Source organism: Homo sapiens, chromosome 18 (assembly GCF_000001405.40).
Source record: "Homo sapiens chromosome 18, GRCh38.p14 Primary Assembly".
Lineage (NCBI taxonomy): Eukaryota > Metazoa > Chordata > Mammalia > Primates > Hominidae > Homo > Homo sapiens.
The window spans coordinates 13,341,595-13,368,128 of record NC_000018.10 but is presented as its reverse complement, the minus strand read 5'-3'; the positions used below and the strand labels follow the sequence as shown (position 1 = coordinate 13,368,128).

Sequence of the window (26,534 nt, the reverse complement as noted above, 5' to 3'; positions counted from 1 at the left end):
CCTCCTAGAAAGGCTCACTCGCACCACCCCCAGATATACCCAGGTCTAAGAAGCCAAAAACAGACCCTTCCTCCCACATCTGTTCCTTATTTTATTTTATGAGACAGGGTCTCAGGTCTCACTCTGTCACCTGGGCAGGACTGCAGTGGTGCCGTCATGGCTCACTGCAGCCTCGACTTCTCAGGCTCAAGCAAAACTCCTGCCTCAGCCTCCTGAGTAGCTGTGACCACAGGCACACGCCCCCATGCCCAGTCGTCCCCTCTCGATACACCCCTTGATAGCACACCCCCACACCCCACTGTCCCCTCTCTCTCAGTACATCCCCTGAAAGCACGTGCCCCCAGGCCCCGCTGTCCCCTCTCAGCAAACACCTTGACAGTGCATGCCCCCCGGGCTCGGCTGTCTCCTCTCGGTATATCCCTTGACAACGTGTGCCCCCGTGCCCGGCTGTCCCCTCTCGGCACACTCCTTGACAGCAGATGGGGCTACCTGGCCCTGCAGCTGCTTGCCCACCCTCTCAGCCACTGAGTGGCCTGCAGACCCTCTGTCCACTCGCTTGGCACTGCCACAGCCGCCTTGCTGCAGCACCCGGGCCCTGGCTCTCCGCCTGGACGGAAGCTGCCTGGTGTGCACTGAATCCTTCCTGAGCATACAGTGCACCTCCAAAACCTGCCAGGCTCTTTTCTGCCCCATGGAGTGCCCCACGCAGTTCAATGCCTGAGACCCCCTCGCCCCCTTTCCTGCCTGCCAGTCCCCGTGTGTTCTGCACAGCGGGACCTCATCTCCCAGGCCCCTCTGCCCCACCTGCCAATCACACCACCTGACAAAACTCCCTCACGCTGCCACAGCGGTTCTGACTCTGTGTGAACCAAAATCATCTGAGGAGTTTATTTCAAAGATTCCAAGTTCCACCTCCACTGGTTGTAACGGAGTGGGGCTGGAGGGGATTGCAAAACCTCCTTCCCACAGCCACAGGACTTCCCTGTGGACAGCAACAGGACTGTTCTGTGTGACACCCAGTTTGCATCTCGCTGTGGGCAAATGTCCTAAGAGTAAACTGACCTGATGCTGAAACGTACTTCCTGTAAAAAGCCCATTTGGTGGATGTGATTTCATTCAAAGCACTGCCTGTCCAGAAGTCACCAGGATTCCCTAGTTTTATGTATTTATTTATTTTGACCACAAGGATCAGAATGAGGACCAGCGAGCAAGAAATATGGGAAGACAGGCTTCAACGCACTGACAAGAAACACGCCAATGTGTCTTTGTTCTTTAATAATTAAGAACCACGCAAGACTGAAAGGGCAGCCTCATGAACCGTCAGCACCCATCACTGCGGTGCTGGAGAGAAGCCACTGGCCCGTGGTGGGTGCTGAAGAACCCAGCCATTGGATGTGACTGCAGCAGCTAACACCCTCCACCCCCGAATGACTTCACAGAAACAGTAACTGTTTTGAGAGGGATCAGACCAAAGACAGAATCCAGATGATAAAGATGAAACAACCTTCATATTTATTCAGAAGGATTTTTTTCTGCTGAAGTTTCAGTATCAAATCAATACATTCCAGACCCTGATCTCCAAGAGTATATCTCCCACAGTGGTCAATTCAGGGCAGAGAAATACTGATCTTCAAAAGATCCAGTATTTAAATTTAGCTGAGCATCTGGCAAGCCTGGTTCTTCCAGAGAGAAGAACCTGAGAGTCATCCTGTTAGTGGTCTTTGGGGAAACAATACCAGGAGGAAACCATGCCCGGGATTATCCTCTCTACCTGCTGAGAAGCAACCAGGGTCTCTTCCTGAATACTCATTCATTGTGAGATCAACACATAATTTCCTGTGAGCTCAGGATTTACAGACACAGACATTTACTTTGCATTTCAAATAATCGGACAAGGTGTGGTGGCTCACACTTGTAATCCCAGGGCTTTGGGAGGCCAAGGCAGCAGGATCATTTGAGCCCAGGAGGTCGAGTCTGCAATGAGGTATGATTGTGCCACTGCCCTCCAGCCTGGGCGAAAGAATGAGACCCTGTCTCTTTAAAAAAAATAAAATAAGGGCCGGGCGTGCTGGCTCACGCTGTAATCCCAGCACTTTGGGAGGCCGAGATGGGCGGATCATGAGGTCAGGAGTTGGAGACCAGCCTAGCCAACATGGTGAAACCCCTTCTCTACTAAAGATACAAAAAATTAGCCAGGTGTGATGACGGGCGCCTGTAATCCCAGCTACTCAGGAGGCTGAGGCAGGAGAATCACTTGAACCTGGGAGGCGGAGGTTGCAGTGAGCCAAGATCGTGCCATTGCACTCCAGCCTGGGCAACAGGGTGAGACTCTGTTTCAAATCAATCAATCAGTCAAATAATCAGTGTATCCTTGTGGTCAAAATAAATAATACATAAAACTCAGCTAGGGAATCCTGGTGACTTTGAGACAGGCAGTGCCTTGAGTGAAATCACATCCTTCGAATGGGCTTTTACAGGAAGTACATTTCAGCATCAGGTCAATTTAGCCTTAGGACATTTGCCCACAGCAAGATGCTGTGTGAGAACTGTGTGTTGGCAGAAAAGGACACCGTCATGGAGGGGATTCACATGCACAGGCTGTCTTCTAAGTGACACTATCCATTTTTCTTATGCACGAAAGGTGGAAAACGTTCTTTATAACGGATTTCACCACTCTCACAGCGCACTACAAATATTGACAATTATCACTTCCACAACAGCCTGACTTTGTGCTAGACTCAGCTGTCTTGGTTCATCCTCAGGTGGCATTAATGAATACACATGAGGGAAGCCAAGTTTTCCCAGCATCTCTGCGAGAAGACAGCACCCAGACTTAGTTAACGGAGCTTTCTATTTTAGAGACTCTCATGGAACCAGCTCTCAAGGTAAAAAGCAAAAGATTAATGCTGGAAGCACGGACGGTGTAGCCATACAGGAGCTCCTTCCAAGGACAGGCATCTGCTCCTTCTCTCCAGGGGAAAGAATAAACAAAGCAATGCAAACGCATTTCTGATGACTCCTAGCTACGTTCACCTTTCCCTGTCTCCCTCCATCACTCCCACTGTCTGCATCACGGCCTGAGCAGCTGCTTTAGTTACTTGTACTGCACAACTCAGCAGCACCTGCATCGCTCACTAGCTGCTTTCATGGTGTGTCTTGTCTCCCTAACTAGCCTGTAAGTTGCTTACAGACAAGGACACTATCCTGTGCTCTTTGCCCCCATCACACTTTGCACACTTCAAACACACGAGTGGAACTGCACTGAGCGCTGAGCTGAACCTTTCCTGCCTGCTTAGGCTGGCTGCTTCCTTTCCTCCATGAGGAACTACTGAAAGACTTCTGCACACATGAGTATAATACCACTCACAGCATCGCCAGCCTCAGGTATGCAGGAAATACAGAACAAAGTGCGTCCACTGAGGATTTTCAAATTTATTTGCTACTTGCATGACATGGCCCCTCCATACACAAAAAAATCAAATAATAGAGCTGGGTGTGGCAGCTCGCACCTGTAATCCCAGCTATTTAAGAGGCTGAAGTGGGAGGATCACTTGAGGACAGGAGTTCAAGACCAGCCTAGACAACACAGTGAGATCCTGTCTTCACAAAAAAATTTTTAAGAAATAAGCCAGGTGTGGTGGCACATGCTGTTAGTCCCAGCTACTCGGGAGGCTGAGGCAGGAGGATCGCTTGAGCCCAGGAGTTTGAGGATGCAGTGAGCTATGACCACACCACCGCACTTCAGCCTGGGTGACAGAGCAAGACCTTGTCTCTTTTAAAAAAAAATCAAATAATACATGTCATTATAGAACATTTTTCTTAAAAAGCAATAATGGCAATGATGTTCACTGTGGGAAAAAAATGGAAAATACAGATAAGTAAATTAAAACATTAATACTCGTAACCCCATGACCAAAGTTAACCAATGTTAGTAGCTTGGCATGTCTCCTTCAGAGCAGATGATTCTGCATATATATCTTTTGCCAAAAACGGTATCATGTTACAGATACTATGATATGATATTTTCACTTAATATATATTAAAACTTGTTTTATGCTAATTATATTTATTCTTTAGAACAGAACATTTCTATGGCCTCAGTATACTTCAGACCAAACTTTTAAAATTTATGTTTACTACTTTAAAGCCTGCTCACAAGATCAGGTCTAGCAGAGATGCCACAAGAAACAAGCATAGTACATGGCATTATTTAGAGACTTTTGAACCTGACAAGCACTGAAAAAGCCAAGCGTGGTGCTGCATTACAGTTCCACCAAAAGAGTACTCTAGTGCTGTTAATTTGCCAATTAAAATGTTTCACATCTTTAAAAATGAGACTGATTATAATTATAAAGACTCAAGCTATCTGTGAGACCACAACCAATATTTATTTTATTTTTATTTTTATTACATTACTCCTCCTGACACTACATATTTTATCATGGAAATGAGAACTAGCATCATCATTGTCAGCTGTCAAAACAGTCCCTGAAAGCCAAGGTCATAAGCCAACACCAATCCAAAGACAATGTGATAGTTAAAAATGCAAAACTGTCCTCAAAGCTGACTCCTAGGCTCCTCTGACACGATGCATAACAGGTTTGGCTTTGTTTAGACAAAGCTCTTTTTGGCACTGGAATAATTAAAACACACCCTTGCACACTTGAGAAATCTGTTTGAATTTCCACTCTCCCTTTCCCCGGCGCAGCCTGAAGACCTTCGTTAAGGGAAACAACATGAAGCCTGCCCACCTAACCACCTCCTTCTCCATTCTTTTTTTTTTTTTTTTTTTTTTTTGAGACGGAGTCTTGCTCTGTCGCCCAGGTTGGAGTGCAGTGGCGCGATCTCGGCTCACTGCAAGCTCCACTTCCCAGGTTCACGCCATTCTCCTGCCTCAGCCTCCCACGTAGCTGGGACTACAGGCACCCACCACCACGCCTGGCTAATTTTTTTTGTATTTTTAGCAGACACGGGGTTTCACCGTGGTAGCCAGGATGGTCTCAATCTGCTGACCTCGTGATCCGCCCGCCTCTGCTTCCCAAAGTGCTGGGATTACAGGCGTGAGCCACCACGCCTGGTCCCCCTTCTCCATTCTTAGTGTTCTCCAGCCTTTGCTGCCGGTTGGCATTTTTATGACTAACCTGATAACTAACGACAGAGCACAGAACTGGTTAGAAATATGTTCCATTTTTCCCCAAAGGTGAGTTGGGCTCTCATATCTCAAGCAAAGAAAAAAAAAAAAGTTTTCTAATTTAGCTCTTCTCTATAGGCATAAAAGTACCCAACAAGCTCATATCCAGCAATCCACTTCCCTCTTGGGTAATTTTCATAGAGTCAGAAGGATCCTTCCTGCCCACAACCCAAAGACTAACTCTTACTCAAGAATAACTTAACGTTTATCATCTTTGTCTTCCCCTTCTCATTTCTATTAAATTGGTTTCCATACCATTAATCTATCACACTGTTTTCTGCTACATTTACCTTTTAAATTTTCCACTTGTTTTATTCAATTTGCCTTCTAAGATGTGTTCATATTTCTATTAAGGTCCAGCTAGAAATGTCTAGATGCATAGCTAAAGCATGGAGACTGCAATCTGAAGGCCGCATGGCTGCCCTGCTGGCACGGAGGTTTTGGAATCCGACTGCCCCTAGTGGGCTCTGACTCCTAAATGGCTGCTGCACATCATACCTTGGTCTCCTCTGTGAGTTCCCTCCATCTATGGCGTGTAGAGACATATTCCAAAACTCCATTTACAAGGTCTATTTGGACTGCAAAAGACTGAATGATAAGGTCACTGGAACAGTCAGCTGGCACAATCATAGGAAAGCACGAATTTCACTCCCATGCTGATAAACTGAGAGAGGTTTCAGTCCACACTGACAGACTATCAGACTAGAATAGCCATCCAACGGTCCTACACAAACTCGTACAACCCACAACCAGCTTCAACAGAACAGTCAGTGTATGAGACAAAGGCACAATGACAAATCTAAAAGACGGCCTCTCTCCTCTCGCTCACGCCTCTGCTTGTGTTACCTTCCAAATGTGTGCCTTTGCCCACAGACCTCGATGGGTGACAATCACAAGTGTACGCTCCTATCAAACCTTCATACACTCAAAATTCGCCTCCTATGTCAAGTACGCTCCTATTAAACCTTCATACAGTCAAAACTCGCCTCCTATGTCAAGTACGCTCCTATTAAACCTTCATGCAGTCAAGACTTGCCTTCTGTGTCAAACCCCATTGCAAACAGATCCAAGCAGTCATGCGTCGCTCTACCATGAGCCTGCTCTGGCTGGCTGGGGGCAGACCCTACCAAGAATGCAGCTGACATCATGCTAGGATGGAGAGGCCCCTCATGGAAAACATGCAACTCATTATTTCTCATCCTACAAACTGTTGCAACTGTCCCTTCTCAGCTGTCAGCACGGCCTCACCTCCAGCCCTAACACCTGCATGGGTGTGGGCAGCAGTGATGTCATCCAGAACCCCTACAAGACAACACGCACTCCTGCCAATGAAAGAACTAGCATGAAGAGGCCCAGGAAGAGAACATCCTCATCTTCCAGCAGATGGGACAACAGAAATCTGGCTTAAGGCCATGGTGAAATTGGCTATCCCTTCTGGAGAACTGTACTGAGGGCCTGGAACCACCAAACAAAGCGAGGTGCAACAAGAAGTACTCAGAATGCTTATAGTATAAGGAAAGATATATACCCTTCTTCCAATCCAACATCCCTTACTAAAAATCACCACCAGAAATGTTGGTATATTATGTATGTTAAAATGACAGGAAACAAGGTGGGTGGATCACGAGGTCAGGAGATTGAGACCATCCTGGCTAACAAGGTGAAACCCCATCTCCACTAAAAATACAAAAACAAAAAATTAGCCGAGTGTGGGCGCCTGTAGTCCCAGCTACTCGGGAGGCTGAGGTGGGAGAATGGCGTGAACCCAGGAGGCGGAGCTTGTAGAAGTGTATTTTGAGTCAAAACGGGAGGGGACCCCTGCTGACGGTCTTCCTGATGAGTGATGGGCTCTGCACAGATGTCACGTGTGCTACTGACCCCATTCCCTCCCACAACAAGCTGACATCACAATGCACATGCAATACCCAAATATTTGGTGCAAACCTTAAAGACTATTCTGAATTCTGAATGCAAAGTGTGGTGGAGTTTTTATACTCAGTTCCCACTCATCTGCCTCCTCCTCTGGAGAAAAAAGAAATCAGTGGGGAGAAAAGGGACAGAAAAATACCAGAAATTCTCCCAGGGTCCAGGAATTTTCATCTTCATGTCACCTCTTACTTGCATAGCGTCAAAGTGGTACATACCATGCCTCTCCTTCACTCAGTTTCCACACCAGGGAGAAGCCTTGTTTAAGAGGGTGGCCAATTGCCCTGCATCTCAGTGGCCTTGCCTGCCTTTTGAAAAATGATACCAGAGATTTTCTCTTACATCAACTTATCTTTTCAAATAAATGTAAATGGCCAGTACGTTTGAAGGCAGAAATTGGAAAATCCAGATCATGTCTACTTATGCTCTTTTCAAGACTATCCATGGTTATTATTGATGACCTGGAAATTCCATTGACCTAAAAATCCAGGAATCTTTTGTCATACTTTTTTTAGTGTTGATATCTGCCACCAGGCAAAATGCACAACAGCACTGAGAGTGAAAACTAGCCAGGATCATGGCAGGTGAGCGCTGCTTTATCCTCGCTGGCTGCGCTGTAATACCACACATCTCCTCACTTGGATTCATCTCACTGCACTCCCAGTTTGACTACAACCTCCCTGAGGGCAAACAGCACTTTTCTGAGAAGGGAATCTCTACAGGATATTTTATTATTGGTCTGAAACTAAAATAAACCTGTTTCCAAAGTGGCTCCGAGATGTGATGTTTTTTCCCTCCAATGATGAGAGGAAATGACCTGCAGGAAGGTCAGAAGCCTGGGTCCCAAGCAAGGCCAGCTTGGTGGAGATTCCATGTGGCCAAGCCTGCCCCTCGCTCAGGAGACTCACTGTTCTCCAAGGTTTGCCACAGCTTGAAGTTTCTCATCTTTCCATTCTGTGGCCCACCTACAGCTCACAGTCTCTGTGCTCCATCTGAAGTTGAAAACACCTCAGTCACATTGATTTCAAAAGCCAAAGATTGCTAGAAACAAAGCTAATCAATGTCCAATTGTGCCTTAGCCATGCCTGTTGGCTGGAAGGGAATCTTTGAAACACATAAGCCAAGAACAGCGTCATCTGAGGGCAAAGCAGGTTGGAGGCATCAGAACCCTCTGCAATGCTGCGGTTGGCCTGTATCAAGAAGTGCTCAATCTAGATGTCACCAGAAAGCTGGATTCTTAGGGGCAATCTTTCTGATCACCACCAACGTTCAAATCATTCATCATCTCTGTGATGATAAGACCAAATCCAACTGGCAGTGCCTCCTAATTAGGCATCCATGAGAGACAACTCCCAGGAAATTAAGTTCCCTAAAATGAGCTCACAATCATGTCTTATCTGCAATTAAAAAATTAAATCCCTTCCTTACTAATATTACATAGCAAATGGAACAGCAGAGTATTGGAGTTAGCAGGTAAGAACATGGCTTTTTTTTTTCCAAGTTGTCTTAAACAATGGTAAAGGCACGGAAGTACATCATGTGACAAGCAGCCCATTCCATTGTTGGGCAAGTCCTGCTGTTAGAAACCACCTTCTGACCACGGCTTGAGGTTTCACTTCCCTGTACCTTGCACCCACAGGCCCCAGACTGATCATTTCAAGCTATGCTAAGACCCCACTCCCTTCCTCCACAGAAAGGCTACTCCATTTACTTGAAGGTCTCTTACAACCATGGAGTCCTCTCCATCCCTCAACTCCTCAGCTGCTTCTCCTGTGACACAATGTCCAGATTCTTGGCTCCCTGGAGTCCCTGCCTCAGAGCCACCTATAGTGTGTCAATGCCTGTCCTTGTGCACAAAGCCTGAGGCTGAGCACAGGTTGGAATGACAATTTTGGGATTCCATGGAGTAACCACGTGCACTGATGAAAACACCAAGCTCCTAGGAACACAGCCTGAAAAGCCAGGGGTGGGATTCTGTTGGTTTTCAGCCGCCTGATATTACTGGTGTACATCACAGTCTTGGGTTTTGTTGTGTTTTGGTTTACTACTATTCTTTTCTCCATCCATAGTTCTTTTCACTTTCCCATCCTAAAATTACATAATGGAGTTTCAGAATGAAAATTTTCACCTTTGTTAAATTTCATCATATTTGTGTTAACTGATTTTTCTAGCCACCCAGTATCTTTCTGAATTATGATTTTTAATAATATGGATGAATTATTTCCAGCTGGAAATATGGTAAGCCAACTTTCTAAGTATCAATTACAGAAAAACTTCAAAAAGAGCAGGGTTAGAATTGCTTTTCCTCTGCAACAAACTGTTTCCAGTCATCACAATTGGTGACGGTAGAATTAGTAGTTTTCGTCTAACTCTGTACATTTGATTTATCCCATTTGAGGGATAAATGGGATAAATTTGATTTATCACATTTGAGGGATAAATAGGATAAATTTTATTTATCACATTTTAGGGATAAATCAAATGAGTAATAATAAAATATTCTAACCATCATCCCCCATGTCCTTGAAAATTAGCATTCTCAGTGTAGATGGAAGGAGATAAATGTAATATAGAAAAACTCAATAATCTTCTGTTTGAACTGGATATATCAACAGGCATTCACAAAATCTTTTATCTTGTGAAAACATATAATCTCTCTCTATATATAAAATAATCTAGATATATATAATCTAGATATCTATATCGATAAACAGATAGATAGATAAATAGATGCATAGATATAAATACACACACACATACATCCCTGGCTCTGTCCACTAAAAAGTCCTAAAAACAATAACCTCGTGTCAGTGAATATCCCTAGTATACAGACCATGCTCTTGAAATGCAACTTATCATTATAAAAAACTAGAGCTTCTTGAAACAAATGGCTGATTCCAGGTCTGGTGCAAAAAATATACAAGATGAGTGTGGATTGGGTATGATCTTGTCATACCCAATAGCAAAGAAGCCATCAAAGAAGACTAGGGCCACGTCAAAAGGACTCAGGAAACAACCAGAAAAGGGTTTCACTGGTCAGGGATAGGATAGTTTGAACTTCAGTAATAATAATAATTGTGATGGATCGAAACATCAACTATGTTAAAATCCATGAGTTCATAATTATATGTAAAAAAGCAGTCATCTCTCAAGGATGACTGGGAAACTTGGTAACTAAAAGGAACATCAACCATTTATATGAGCCATATACCATGGGTAACCAAATGGTAGATGAAGGGAAGCATGTCCTTACAAAAATGTTCCAGCCAATAAGTAAAAACAAAATAACAGAACTGCAGGATGCCCATCTTCTAACCCCCCAATGAACTAATGCAACTAGGAAGACAATATTAAAAGAAATATGGACAGGCACACATATCTCCTGATGAAAAAATATACCACTTCTTCTACACTTGCCAAAGAAGACCAAATTCTGATCAAGCTTCCTAATACAGCTACCAAGATATAGGAAATACAGAGGATAAACAAACATGTTGAATTATACCACAAGTCTGCAGTCAGCAAAATCCAGGGTGAAGGAACCTCTAGAGCCAACAGGTCCAGTGTCTTTAACAAATAAACTTCCTTTTTTTTTTTTCCTGCATCCAACCATCCATTACAACAAATAAATTTCAAGCAAACTGGGTGTGGGGGCTCATGCCTGTAATACCAACACTCTAGGAGAATAAGGCAGAAGGATCACTTAAGCCCAGGAGTCCAGCCTGCACAACAGAGCAAGACCTCATCTCTAATTAATTAATTAATTAAACTTCAAGGAAAATAAGGAAGTAGAGAGCCTGCCTGTTAAAATGGAAACTTAAAAGATGTAACAAGTGTTTGTTGTTGTTGTTTTTGTTTTTTTGTTTGTTTTTTGTTTTGAGATGCAGTCTCGCTCTGTCAACCAGGCTGGAGTGCAGTGGCACAACCTCAGCTCACTGCAACCTCCACCTCCTGGGTTCACGCCATTCTCCTGCCTCAGCCTCCCAAGTAGCTGGGATTACAGGTGCGCACCACCACACCCGGCTAATTTTTGTATTTTTAGTAGAGACAAGATTTCACGATGTTGGCCAGGCTGGTCTTGACCTCCTGACCTCACGTGATCCCTCCACCTCGGCCTTCCAAAGTGCTGGGATTACAGGCGTGAGCCAATGCGCCTGACCTAAAAGACATTTCAAGTGTTCTAATTAGAGAAGATTAAACTATAGCTCAAATTTGGATGATAAAGCCATAAAGAAATGTTAGAAAGTCATTATTATAAATTTCAAGACAGGGGGTGCTCCTGGAGGGAGGAAGATGGTGTGACGGGAAAGGGGCAGCACACAGAGGTGATTCCTGGGGCGGCAAATTTCTACCTCCTGACTTGAGTGGTGGTTCCAGGGGAAACTGTCTAAAATAATTCACTAAACTATGTATTTGCTTCTTATCTTTTCTGTACCTGTATTTTATTCTACAATAAAAAGGTAAAACTTTTAATTAGATGGGAAAATCTTTTAAATTTCAAATAAAAGTTCTGTCCTACTTTTTCATCTTTCTACAGTGCTACATCTTCTAAATCTGACTTATGATGCAATAAAATAGATACTAAAAATAAGTAGTAAGAGTTGTTTTTCTCAAATAAGCTACACTAGCTTTAAGCAATGCATTTACCCGGGTCCTTTGCACACTTGGTGTGGTGGCAGTGCACCTGTCCCAAGAGCTGCGGGCGCCTGCTGCCAAAGGCTCACAGCCACCCTTCCAAGGAGATTCCCATTGGATGGATGGGAGCCTCCTCCCTACAGAGGTCATGCCCAGTGGCCTGCCCCAGATCCCAGCACTCTCAGGCAGCCAGGAGCCAACAGTGCCTAATACTGGGTATTTCTCAAAGTGGGACCAAATCAATAGAGCAATTCATGCTCTGAAGGTCTCATGGGATTGTGCTGAAGCACGACCCTGGCTGAGCCCGCTCACTTGCTTACGCTCCTCCCTCCACTGCCCAATCCCACACTCCTCAATCCCCTGCTCCTATATGGCCTCAATAACTCACTGCAACTGGATTGCGATCTCAGGCTCTGCTTCTAGAAAATCCAACTTAAGACTCTTGGAGGCCAAGCATAGAGGCTCATGCCTTAATCCTAGAACTTTGGGAGGCCAGGGTGGGAGGATCACTTGAGGCCAGGAGTTCAAGACCAGCCTGGACAACAAAGCAAGACTCTGTCTCTATAATTTTTTTTTAATTAGCCAGGCATGGTGGCACATGCATGTGGTCCCAGCTACTCTGGAGGCTAAGGTGGGAGGATCCCTTGAGCCCAGGAGCTTGAGGCTGCAGTGAGCTGTAATTGCACCACTGCACTTCAGCCTGGGCAACAGAGTGAGACTGCCTTTCAAAAAAAAACCAGACTCTTGGAAATGAAAAGTCACTTTTGTAGTGACCAAAGCGATTTCAGCATAACAGAAAAGAATTATTGACAGACAGCATAGGTCTTAGTAAGTCATAATAACTAGGCATTTGCCCTTCTGGAAACACTAAATGCTATCAGCATGTACCCAAATATTTCATTACTTTATGTGAATGAGCCACTGACTCCCTCATATGACAAATTCTACCACTGGCTTATGATAGAAACTCCTTAGAAGGGACAAAGAGCAAAGGGTCCTAATCCTCTTGGTAGTTCAACAGCATAGCAGGAATTGACCAAGTTATCCAGATGGAAAGCTAAAACTGGCCTCTTCCTACTTCCCCACATACATCAATTCCTCAAGTTTCCTAAGTTATAAGCACTGTCAGGGTGCCAAAGTTTCACTCCAAGCTTGGATTTAAAAAATTAGTAAGATCTGATTAAACATCACAAAAACAAAACAACATAGACTAAAGTGCAGGAGCACGCGCCTCATCTGAGAGGCCCTCTGCAATGCTGTACCAGGCATCTTTGCCACAGTGTAATAGTCCAACAACTTGAATCTGCCCATCGATCCTGTTTATGACCAACATGTCAAACAGGCATAGAAATGGGGTGGAAACAAGCACCTCTCTCCATTCATTTCCCTTCAGGCATCCAATTAAATCAAATTGGAACCTCTGTGTTGACAACAGGTTCCAGAGCAGAACCTCCTTGAAGATGAGTGTTGGTGACACTGGAGACAGCCCTGGGGCACAAGGTCCACCCTAAGCTGCCAGAGGACTCAATGAATGGTCACAGCACATCTATCTTCATCTAACAGCACAAGCCCTTGCCCTCAGTGCCGACCAAACTGCACATTGAGGAGAATGAGAATAAATCTCTGTAAAATGATTTTGGAATATATTTTAAAAGAAAGTTTAACTCCATTAATGGATCCTGGGTTCAGAACCCCAGCTAAATAATGTCTGAATCACACCACCAGAAGGCTCAGCTGATCACTGATTCATTCCCCATCCTCAAGAAGGATGGTGTCTAAGTCATCTCAGGCCCCTTTGGTTTCATGGAGCAGTAATTTAGTTCAGACTGCCTCTAGTTCTCTATATTTTTCCATCACACAAATGATGTAATTTCTAATCACAGTAGCCTATGTCAAAATTACAGAATGTGCAAGAGAATGCACCCAACAGCAATAAAAGAACATTTTCCATTATATCCATTTCATGCTGTTGGTCCCAAAATCTTACCATTTCAAAGAGTAAATTCCTTTTTCATAAATAAAAAGTTGTGCTGCAACCAAATCAACACCGTAAGAACTTCCATATGATAAATTTTAGCATAAAATTGACAATTCTTATTGCATTCTCCAAAGTACTTGAAAAAATTAAATGCTAAGCTTTTCTTATTTCTTTTTTTAGAGACTGGGTCTTGCTATATTGCCAAGGCTGGAGGGCAATGGCTACTCACAGGTGCAAACATGGCACACTACAGCCTCGAACTCTTGGGCTTAACTGATCATCCCAACTCAACTTCCCAAGCAGCTGGGACTACAGGTGTGCACCACCATGCCCATCTAAAACTCTAAACATTTTTAATCCTGTGAGTTAAATCACTGTTGTATTAACTAGGAAAAAAAAAGAATATTATCTGGAGCAGTGACATCAGCAAAATAGCAGACCAGGAGGCTCCAGGCCCTCATTCACCCAAAGAAACATTAAAGAAAAACAACTAGAGACTAGCTACATTAACTTTATAAAAGAGCTGGAAAACAAAGTTCTATAGTCATTAAGCAAATGCCTACTGAAGAAGCCACATTCAAAATGTCTGCCATTTCATTTCATTTTTATTCACTCTTTTTTCCCCTACTTCCCAGCCTGGTGTAGCCTTGGGCTGGAGGAGGCAGTGGCCAAAGCTTCCAATTCCCTCCCTCTGAAGGGAGTAGACCTGACCTAATTTGCAATATTTTAACCTGTCTGAGGACTGCCTGAGGACTGGTCTCTGCATTGCCTAACTCCAAGCTCAGAAGGCAAAAACCACCACAGCTTGCCTCTCAGGCTAGGAAAAGGCACAAGAAACAGGAAGCAGCAGTGACAGCTACTCTAAGAAAACAGACCCACAGACACCTAGGGCAACAGACTGCAGGCAGAGGAATACAATAGAATACATAAGGTCCAGCAGCCAAGGTGAGAGTATTGGGGAAATTAAGAAAATTAAAAGCCACCATCTATACTTGGGAATTGAAAAGCATACACACAGGCCCACATAAGACACATACCCAGAAAAGGGCCTAGCAAGGCCTTAAGCCTTCACAGTGAGCTATCCCAAAGCTCAGCTTGTTAATAAAGCTCAGCTGATCCCAAAGGTCCTCCCCAACACAAAGCCACTCTAGAAAGACAGGAGGAAGTGGTTATTTTTTTTTCAAATGCCTAATTTTCCATTTTAAAAAAGCACACGACATACAAAAGACAAAACAGGAAAACATGGCTTACAAAAATGAAGAAAATAAAGCAGTGGAAACTATCCCTGAAGAAACATAGGCACTGGATATACTAGACAAAGATTTTACCACATAAGTCTTAAATATGCTTAAAGAGCTAGAGGAAAAATGGACTAAGTACTAAAGAAAATCAGGAAAATGATTTAAAAACAAAATGAGAATAATAGCAAAGAGACAGAAATTATAAAATGGAACCAAACAGAAATTCTAGAGCTGAAAAACACAACTGAATGAAAAATGCTACTATATTTTCAAAAATATATTACAGGAGCTCAACAGCAAACTCAAACAGGTAAAAGAAAGAATAAGAAAATCTAAAGACAAGTCATTTAAAACTACTGAATCTGAGAGGTAGAAAGAAAAAAGAATGAAGAAAAGTGAACAGAGCCTAAGAGGCTTATGGGGCACAAGCAAGGGAACAAGTATACATGTTACGAGAATTCCAGAAGGAGAAGAGAGAAAGAGGAAGATATTATTTGAAGGAATAATAGCAGAAAATGTCTCAACTTTGAGAAAATACATAAATTGACAAATCCGAGAAATTTAACAACTCAAAGTAGGATAAAACTAAAGAGACCCACACCAAGACATATTCAAACTGTCAAAAGACCGAATCTTTTAAGTACTGAGAGAAGTGAACCATCATATACAAAAGATATCCAGTAAGATAATCAGCACATTGTTCAGCAGAAACCCAGCAGCCCAAAGGCAATGTGAGGATTTATTTAAACTGCTGAAAGGGAAAAATAAAACAAACAAAAACAACCTGTCAGCCAAGAATTCTGTATGTTCCAAAACTTGAACTAAAAATGAGACAATTTGACGTCCTCTATTCCTATTTGAATACTCTTTATTTCTTTCTCTTGCCTGATTGCCCTGGCCACAACTTCCAACACTATGTTGAATAGAAGTGGTGAGAAAGGGTATCCTTGTCTTGTGCTGGTTTTCAAAGGGAATGCTTCCAGCTTTTGCCCATTCAGTATGATTTTGGCTGTGGGTCTGTCATAAATAGTTCTTATTATTTTGAGATATGTTACATCAAGACATAGTTTATTGAGAGTTTTTAACACAAAGGGATGTTGAATTTTATCAAAGGCCTTTTCTGCATCTATTGAGATGATCATGTGGTTTTTGTCATTGGTTCTGTTTATGTGATGGATTATGTTTACTGATTTGCATATGTTGAACCACCCTTGCATCCTAGGGATGAAGCCAACTTGATCATGGTGGATAAGCTTTTTGATGTGCTGCTGGATTCGGTTTGCCAGTATCTTATTGAAAATGTTTGCATTGATGTTCATCAGGGATATTGACCTGAAGTTTTCTTTTTTTGTTGTGTCTCTGCCAAGTTTTGGTATCAGGATGATGCTGGCCTCATAAAATGAGTTAAGGAGGAGTCCCTTCTTTTCAATTGTTAGGAATAGTTTCAGAAGGAATGGTACCAGATACTCTCTGTATCTCTGGTAGAATTTGGCTGTGAATCTGTCTGGTCCTGGGCTTTTTTCGGTTGGTAGGCTATTAATTCCTCAATTTCAGAACTTGTTATTGGTCTATTCAGGGATTCAACCGAAGACAACATGATTCTATATTTAGAAAACCTCATCATCTCAGTCCAAAAACTTCTTAAGCTGATAAGCAACTGCAGCAAAGTCTCAGGATACAAAATCAATGTGCAAAAATCACAAACATTCCTATACACCAACAACAGACAAGCAGACAGACAAATCACAAATGAACTCCCATTCACAATTGCTACAAAGAGAATAAAATGCCTAGGAATACAGCTAACAAGGGATGTGAAGGACTTCTTCAAAGAGAACTACAAACCACTGCTCAAGGAAATAAGAGGACACAAACAAATGGAAAAACATTCCATCCTCATAGATAGAAAGAATCAATATCATGAAAATGGCCACACTGCCCAAAGTAATTTATATATTCAATATTATTCCCATCAAACTACCTTTGACATTCTTCACAGAATTAGAAAAAACTACTTTAAATTTCATATGGAACCAAAAAAGATCCTATATAGCCAAGACAATCCTAAGCAAAAAGAACAAAGCTGGAGGCATCATGCTACCTGATTTCAAACTATACTACAAGGCTACAGTAACCAAAACAGCATGGTACTGGTACTGAGATAGGCATACAGACCAATGGAACAGAATAGAGACCTCAGAAATAACACCACACATCTACGACTATCTGCTCTTCAACAAACTGTACAAAAACAAGCAATGGGGAAAGGATTCCCTATTTAATAAATGGAGCTGGGAAAACTGGCTAGCTATATTCAGAAAACTGAAACTGGACCCTTCCTTACACCTTATACAAAAATTAACTCAAGATGGATTAAAAACTTAAATGTAAAACCTCAAGCCATTAAAACCCTAGAAGAAAACCTAGGCAATACCATTCAGGACACAGGCATGGGCAAAGATTTCATGACAAAAATGCCAAAAGCAATTGCACCAAAAGCAAAAATTGACAAATGAGATCTAATTAAACTAAAGAGCTTCTGCACAGCAAAAGAAACTATCATCAGAGTGAACAGGCAACCTACAGAATAGGAGAAAATTTCTGCAATCTACCCATCTAATATCCAGAATCTACAAGGAACTTAAACAAATGTACAAGAAATGTACAAGAAAAACACAAATACCCCCATCAAAAAGTGGGCAAAGGATATGAACAGACACTTCTCAAAAGAAGACATTTATGTGGCCAACAAACAATGAAACAAAGCTCATCATCACTGGTCATTAGAGAAATGCAAATCAAAACCATAATGAGATACCATCTCACACAAGTCAGAATGGGAATTATTAAAAAGTCAAATAACAATAAGATACTGGTGAGCTGTGGAGAAATAGGAATGCTTTTGCACTGATGGTAGAAATGTAAATTAGTTGGACCATTGTGGAAGACAGTGTGGCGATTCCTCAAGGATCTAGAACCAGAAATACCATTTGACCCAGCAGTCCCATTACTAGGTATATACCCAAAGAAATATAAATCATCCTACTATAAAGACACATGTTGTATATTTATTGCAGCACTATTTACAATAGCAAAGACATGGAACCAACCCAAATGCCCATCAATGATAGACTGGATACAGAAAATGTGGTACATATACACCATGGAATACTATGCAGCCATAAAAAGGAATGAGATCGTGTCCTTTGCAGGGATATGGATGAAGCTTGAAGCCATCATCCACAGCAAACTAACACAGGAACAGAAAACCAAACACCACATGTTCTCACTCGTAAGTGGGAGTTGAATAGTGAGAACACACGGACACAGGGAGAGGATCAACACACACTGGGGCCAGTTGGGGGGTGGGGGGTGAGACGAAGGAGAGCATTAGAACAAATAGCTAATGCATGCGGGGCTTAAAACCTAGACGACAGGTTGATAGGTGCAGCAAACCGCTATGGCACATGTATACCTATGTAACAAACCTACACATTCTGCACTTGTATCCCAGAACTTAAAGTAAATTTAAAAAAATAAAAATGAGGGACAAATTAAGATATTCTCAGATCAACAAAAGCTGAGAGTTCATTACCACTAAACCTACCCTACAAGAAATGCTAAAGGGTATGAAATGAAAGGACACTAGACAGTAACTTGGAGCCTCGTGGAAATACAAAGTCCTCTGGTAAAGGTAAATACATGGACAAATATAAAAACCAGGGTTATTGTAATTTTGGTCTGTAACTCCACTTTTTATTCTTCTAAAGGACTTAAAAGACAAATGCATAAAAGAATCATAAGTGCATATTAATGGACACACAATATACAAAGACATAATCTATGACAACAATAATACATAGTAGGAGATGGAGCTGTAAAAGAGTAGTTTTTGTATGACATTGATATTAAATTGATATTAATTTAAAATCTATTGTTGGGGAGCCAAGATAGCCAAATAGGAACAGCTCCAGTCTACAGCTCCCAGCGTGAGCAACGCAGAAGACAAACGATTTCTGCATTTCAAACTGTGGTACCGGGTTCATCTCACTGGGGATTGTCGGACAGTGGGTGCAGGACAGTGGGGGCAGCGCACCGAGCGTGAGCCAAAGCAGGGCGAGGCATCGCCTCACCTGGGAAGTGCAAGGGGTCAGGGAATTCCCTTTCCTAGTCAAGGAAAGGGGTGACAGATGGCACCTGGAAAATCGGGTCACTCTCCCACCCTAATGCTGCGCTTTTCCAATGGTCTTAGCAAACATCACACCAGGAGATTATATCCCGTGCCTGGCTCGGAGGGTCCTACACCCATGGAGCCTCGTTTATTGCTAGCACAGCAGTCTGAGATAAAACTGCAAGGTGGCAGCGAGGCTAGGGGAGGGGCGCCCGCCATTGCTGAGGCTTGAGTAGGTAAACAAAGCGGCTGGGAAGCTCAAACTGGGTGGAGCCTACCGCAGCTCAAGGAGGCCTGCCTGCCTCTATAGACTCCACCTCTGGGGGCAGGGCATAGCCCAACAAAAGGCAGCAGAAACCTCTACAGACTTAAATGTCCCTGTCTGACAGCTTGGAAGACAGTAGTGGTTCTCCCAGCACGCCGCTTGAGATCTGAGAATGGACAGACTGCCTCCTCAAGTGGATCCCTGACCGCCAAGTAGCCTAACTGGGAGGCACCCCACAGTAGGGGCAGACTGACACCTCACACAGCCAGGTACTCCTCTGAGACAAAACTTCCAGAGGAATGATCGGGCAGCAACATTTGCTGTTCACCAATATTCACTGTTCTGCAGCCTCCACTGCTGATACCCAGACAAACAGAGTCTGGAGTGGACCTCCAGCAAACTCCAAAAGACCTGCAGCTGAGGGTCCTGACTATTAGAAGGAAAACTAACAAACAGAAAGGACATCCACACCAAAACCCCATTTGTATGTCACCATCATCAAAGACCAAAGGTAGGTAAAACCACAAAGATGGGGAAAAAACAGAGCAGAAAAACTGAAAATTCTAAAAATCAGAGCACCTCTCCTCCTTCAAAGGAACGCAGCTCCTCACCAGCATCGCAACAAAGCTGGACAGAGAATGACTTTGACGAGTTGAGAAAAGAAGGCTTCAGACGATCAAACTACTCTGAGCTAATGGAGGAATTTCGAACCCGTGGCAAAGAAGTTAAAAACCTTGAAAAAAGATTAGACGAATGGCTAACTAGAATAACCAATGCAGAGAAGTCCTTAAAGGACCTGATGAAGCTGAAAACCATGGCACGAGAACTATGTGACGAATGCGCAAGCCTCAGTAGCTGATTCGATCAACTGGAAGAAAGGGTATCAGTGACGGAAGATCAAATGAATGAAATGAAGCAAGAAGAGAAGTGTAGAGAAAAAAGAATAAAAAGAAATGAACAAAGCCTCCAAGAAATATGGGACTATGTGAAAAGACCAAATCTACGTCTGATTGGTGTACCTGAAAGTGACGGGGAGAATGGAACCAAATTGGAAAACACCCTGCAGGATATTATCCAGAAGAACTTCCCCAATCTAGCAAGGCAGGCCAACATTCAAATTCAGGAAATACAGAGAACGCCACAAAGATACTCCTCGAGAAGAGCAACTCCAAGACACATAACTGTCAGATTCACCAAAGTTGAAATGAAGGAAAAAATTTTAAGGGCAGTCAGAGAGAAAGGTTGGGTTACCCACAAAGGGAAGCCCATCAGACTAACAGCTGATCTCTCGGCAGAAACTCTACAAGCCAGAAGAGAGTGGGAGCCAATATTCAACATTCTTAAAGAAAAGAATTTTCAACCCAGAATTTCATATCCAGCCAAACTAAGCTTCATAAGTGAAAGAGAAATAAAATACTTTACAGACAAGCAAATGCTGAGAGATTTTGTCACCACCAGGCCTGCCCTACAAGAGCTCCTGAAGAAAGCACTAAACATGGAAAGGAACAACCAGTACCAGCCACTGCAAAAACATGCCAAATTATAAAGACCATCGAGGCTAGGAAGAAACTGCATCAACTAATGAGCAAAATAACCAGCTAACATCATAATAACAGGATCAAATTCACACATAACAATATTAACCTTAAATGTAAATGAACTAAATGCTCCAGTTAAAAAACACAGACTGGCAAATTGGATAAAAAGTCAAGACCCATCAGTGTGCTGTATTCAGGGAACCCATCTCACGTGTAGAGACACACATAGGCTCAAAATAAAGGGATGGAGGAAGATCTACCAAGCAAATGGAAAACAGACAGGAGTTGCAATCCTAGTCTCTGATAAGACAGACTTTAAACCAACAAAGATCAAGAGAGACAAAGAAGGCCATTACATAATGGTAAAGGGATCAATTCAACAAGAAGAGCTAACTATCCTAAATATATATGCACCCAATACAGGAGCACCCAGATTCATAAAGCAAGTCCTTAGAGACCTACAAAGAGACTTAGACTCCCACACAATAATAATGGGAGACTTTAACACCCCACTGTCAACATTAGACAGATCAATGAGACAGAAAGTCAACAAGGATGTCCAGGAATTGAACTCAGCTCTGTACCAAGCAGACCTAATAGACATCTACAGAACTCTCCACCCCAAATCAACAGAATATACATTCTTTTCAGCACCACACCACACCTATTCCAAAATTGACCACATAGTTGGAAATAAAGCACTCCTCAGCAAATGTAAAAGAACAGAAATTTTAACAAACTGTCTCTCAGACCACAGTGCAATCAAACTAGAACTCAGGATTAAGAAACTCACTCAAAACCACTCAACTACATGGAAACTGAACAACCTGCTCCTGAATGTACTGGGTACATAACAAAATGAAGGCAGAAATAAAGATGTTCTTTGAAACCAACGAGAACAAAGACACAACATACAAGAATCTCTGGGACACATTCAAAGCAGTGTGTAGAGGGAAACTTATAGCACTAAATGCCCACAAGAGAAAGCAGGAAGATCTAAAATTGACACCCAAACATCACAACTGAAAGAACTAGAGAAGCAAGAGCAAACACATTCAAAAGCTAGCATAAGGCAAGAAATAACTAAGATCAGGGCAGAACTGAAGGAAATAGAGACACAAAAAACCCTTCAAAAAATCAATGAATCCAGGAGCTGGTTTTTTGAAAAGATCAACAACATTGATAGACCGCTAGCAAGACTAATAAAGAAGAAAAGAGAGAAGAATCAAATAGATGGCAATAAAAAATGATGAAGGGGATATCACCATTGAACCCCCAGAAATACAAACTACCATCAGAGAATACTATAAACACCTCTATGCAAATAAACTAGAAAATCTAGAAGAAATGGATACATTCCTGGACACATACACCCTCCCAAGACTAAACCAGGAAGAAGTTGAATCTCTGAATAGACCAATAACAGGCTCTGAAATTGAGGCAATAATAGCTTACCAACCAAAAAAAGTCCAGGACCAGATGGATTCACAGCCGAATTCTACCAGAGGTACAAGGAGGAGCTGGCACCATTCCTTCTGAAACTATTCCAATCAATAAAAAAAGAGGGAATCCTCCCTAACTCATTTTATGAGGCCAGCATCATCCTGATACCAAAGCCTGGCACAGACACAACAAAAAAAGAGAATTTTAGACCAATATCCCTGATGAACATCAATGCAAAAATCCTCAATAAAAAACTGGCAAACCGAATCCAGCAGCACATCAAAAAGTTTATCCACCATGATCAAGTGGGCTTCATCCCTGGGATGCAAGGCTGGTTCAACATACACAAATCAATAAACGTAATCCAGCATATAAACAGAACCAATGACAAAAACCACATGATTATCTCAATAGATGCAGAAAAGGCCTTTGACAAAATCCAACAATGCTTCATGCTAAAAACTCTCAATAAATTAGGTATTCATGGGATGTATCTCAAAATAATAAGAGCTATCTATGACAAACCCACAGCCAATATCATACTGAATGGTCAAACACTGGAAGCATTCCCTTCGAAAACTGGCACAAGAGAGGGATACCCTCTCTCACCACTCCTATTCAACATAGTGTTGGAAGTTCTGGCCAGGGCAATCAGGCAGGAGAAAGAAATAAAGGGTATTCAATTAGGAATAGAGGAAGTCAAATTGTCCCTGTTTGCAGATGACATGACTGTATATCTAGAAAACCCCATTGTCTCAGAACAAAATCTCCTTAAGCTGATAAGCAACTGCAGCAAAGTCTCAGGATACAAAATCAATGTGCAAAAATCACAAGCATTCTGATACACCAACAGCAGACAAACAGAGAGCCAAATCATGAGTGAACTCCCATTTACAATTGCTTCAAAGAGAATAAAATACCTAGGAATCCAACTTAAAAGGGATGTGAAGGACCTCTTCAAGGAGAACTACAAACACTGCTCAATGAAATAAAAGAGGATACAAACAAATGGAAGAACATTCCATGCTCATGGGTAAGAAGAATCAATATCGTGAAAATGGCCATACTGCCCAAGGTAATTTAGAGATTCAATGCCATCCCCATCAAGCTACCAATGACTTTCTTCACAGATTGGAAAAAACTACTTTAAAGTTCACATGGAACTAAAAAAGAGCCCACATTGCCAAGACAATCCTAAGCCAAAAGAACAAAGCTGGAGGCATCATGCTACCTGACTTCAAACTATACTACAAAGCTACAGTAACCAAAACAGCATGGTACTGGTACCAAAACAAAGATATAGACCAATGGAACAGAACAGAGCCCTCAGAAATAATGCCACGCATCTACAACTATCTGATCTCTGACAAAGCTGACAAAAACAAGAAATGGGGAAAGGATTCCCTATTTAATAAATGGTGCTGGGAAAACTGGCTAGCCATATGTAGAAAGCTGAAACTGGATCTCTTCCTTACACCTTATACAAAAATTAATTCAAGATGGAATAAACACTTAAATGTTAGACCTAAAACCATAAAAACCCTAGAAGAAGACCTAGGCAATACCATTCAGGACGTAGGCATGGGCAAGGACTTCATGTTTAAAACACCAAAAGCAATGGCATCAAAAGCCAAAATTGACAAATGGGATCTAATTAAACTAAAGAGCTTCTGCACAGCAAAAGAAACCACCATCAGAGTGAACAGGCAACCTACAGAATGGGAGAATATTTTTGCAATCTACTCATCTGACAAAGGTCTAATATCCAGAATCTACAATGAACTCAAGCAAATTTACAAGAAAAAAACAAATAACCCCATCAAAAAGTGGGTGAAGGATATGAACAGACACTTCTCAAAAGAAGACATTTATGCAGCCAAAAGGCACAGAAAAAATGCTCATCATCACTGGCCATCAGAGAAATGCAAATCAAAACCACAATGAGATACCATCTCACACCAGTTAGAATGATGATCATTAAAAAGTCAGGAAACAACAGGTGCTGGAGAGGATGTAGAGAAACAGGAACACTTTTACACTGTTGGTGGGATTGTAAACTAGTTCAACCATTGTGGAAGTCAGTGTGGCGATTCCTCAGGGATCTAGAACTAGAAATACCATTTGACCCAGCAATCCCATTACTGGGTATATACCCAAAGGATTATAAATCATGCTGCTATAAAGACACACGCACACGTATGTTTATTGTGGCACTATTCACAATAGCAAAGACTTAGAACCAACCCAAATGTCCAACAACAATAGACTGGATTAAGAAAATGTGGCACATATACACCATGGAATACTATGCAGCCATAAAAAATGATGAATTCATGTCCTTTGTAGGGACATGGATGAAGCTGGAAACCATCATTCTCAGCAAACTATTGCAAGGCCAAAAAACCAAACACCACATGTTCTCACTCATAGGTGGGAACTGAACAATGAGAACACATGGACACAGGAAGGGGAACATCACACACTGGGGCCTGTTGTGGGGTGGGGGGAGGGGGGAGGGATAGCATTAGGAGATATATTAATGTTAAATAACGAGTTAATGAGTGCAGCACACCAACATGGCACATGTATACATATGTAACTAACCTGCACGTTGTGCACATGTACCCTAAAATTTAAAGTATAATAAAAAAGTCTATTGTTTTAGGAAACAATAGATTTAGGAAATTATGTGTAATGCTCAAGGTAACCACAAAAAAAAATCTACAGACTATACACAAAAGTACATGAGAAGGGAATCAAAACATGTCATTACAGAAAAATCCACTTAACACTGAGAAAGTAATGGATGATATGGGAAACAAAAAAGCTATAAGAAAAACAGAAACAACTAACTTGATGACCACAATAAATCCTTCCCTGTCCGTAATTATATTAAATATAAACAGATTAAACTCCCTAATCAAAAGCTGTAGGTTGGTAGAATGGAATAAAAAATTAAAAAAAAAGAATCCAACTATATTTTGTCTAAAAGAGACTAACTTTGGATCTAAGGACACATACAGGTTGAAAGTGAAAGTATGGAAAATACTATTTGTAATATTCCATGCAAATAGTAATGAAAAGAGAGCAGTGGTGGCTATACTAATATCAGGCAAAATGGACATTAAGTTAAAAAACTATTATAAGGGACAAAAAAGAATATTATATAATTCCTTTTATAATAGTGTCAGAAATAATAAAATATTTAGGAATAAACCATGAAGGAAAAGTCCATCTCAAAAAAAAAAAAAAAAAAAAAAAAAGACAGGAAGGCCCAGGAACCACAGACTGAATCATGAAGAAACAGAACATCCAAATAAACCTTAACTAGTAAAGGGACTGAATCAGTAATCAAAGCCTCCTATGAAAGAAAAACCAAGGACTAGATGTCTCCACTGGTGACTTCTTCCAAACATTTAAGAAGGATTAACATAATTCTTCTCAAACTCTTCTGAAAAACTGAAGAGGAAGGAACGTTTTCTAACTTATTGTATGAGACCAGCGTTACCCTGATACCGAAACTATACCAAGACATTATAAGAAAAGAAAACTACAAACCAATATTTCTTATGAATATTAATATAAAAATCCCCAACTAAATACTAGCAAACCAAACTCAGAAGCATATTAAAAGGATTATACAATACGATCAAGGGAAATTTATTCTTGGAATGCAAGGAGTTCAACATGTGAAAATCAATGAACGTAATATATTACATTAACAGAATGAAGAACAAACACCATATGATCATCTCAATTGATGCAGAAAATCATTTGACAAAATTCAACACCATTCATGATTTTTTAAAAAACACTCAATAAACTAGGACTAAAAGAAAATTACCTCAACATTATGAAGGCCATGTATGAAAAATCCACAACTAACATTAAACTCAAAAGTGAAAGACTAAAAACATTTTCTCTAAGATAAGGAATAAGACAAGAAAGTCCACTTTTGCCATTTCTATTCAACACAGTACACGTCCTAGCCATAGCAATCAGGCAAGAAAAAGAAATAAAAGACATCCAAATCAGAAAGAACAAAGTAAAGTTATCTCTGTTCACAGATGTCATGATCTTATATGTAGAAAGCCCTAAAGATTCCCTTTTTTAAAAAAAGTGTTAGAATTAATGAACATAAAACAT

At 41.6% G+C, this 26,534-nt stretch overlaps 1 protein-coding gene across 41 annotated transcripts in view, besides 1 other annotated feature; it reads right to left on the bottom strand.

The window, feature by feature from the left end:
• Positions 1–26,534, bottom strand: part of LDLRAD4 (low density lipoprotein receptor class A domain containing 4) — a 435,073-nt gene that overhangs the window by 284,626 nt on the left and 123,913 nt on the right. The window lies entirely within an intron of this gene.
• Positions 1,286–1,933: an enhancer, noted in NCBI's record as "NANOG-H3K4me1 hESC enhancer chr18:13366195-13366842 (GRCh37/hg19 assembly coordinates)". NCBI's record gives its function as "activates a minimal SCP1, AML or CMV promoter by ChIP-STARR-seq in naive H9 embryonic stem cells {active_cell/tissue: H9 hESC(naive)}" and the evidence as "EXISTENCE:reporter gene assay evidence [ECO:0000049][PMID:30033119]".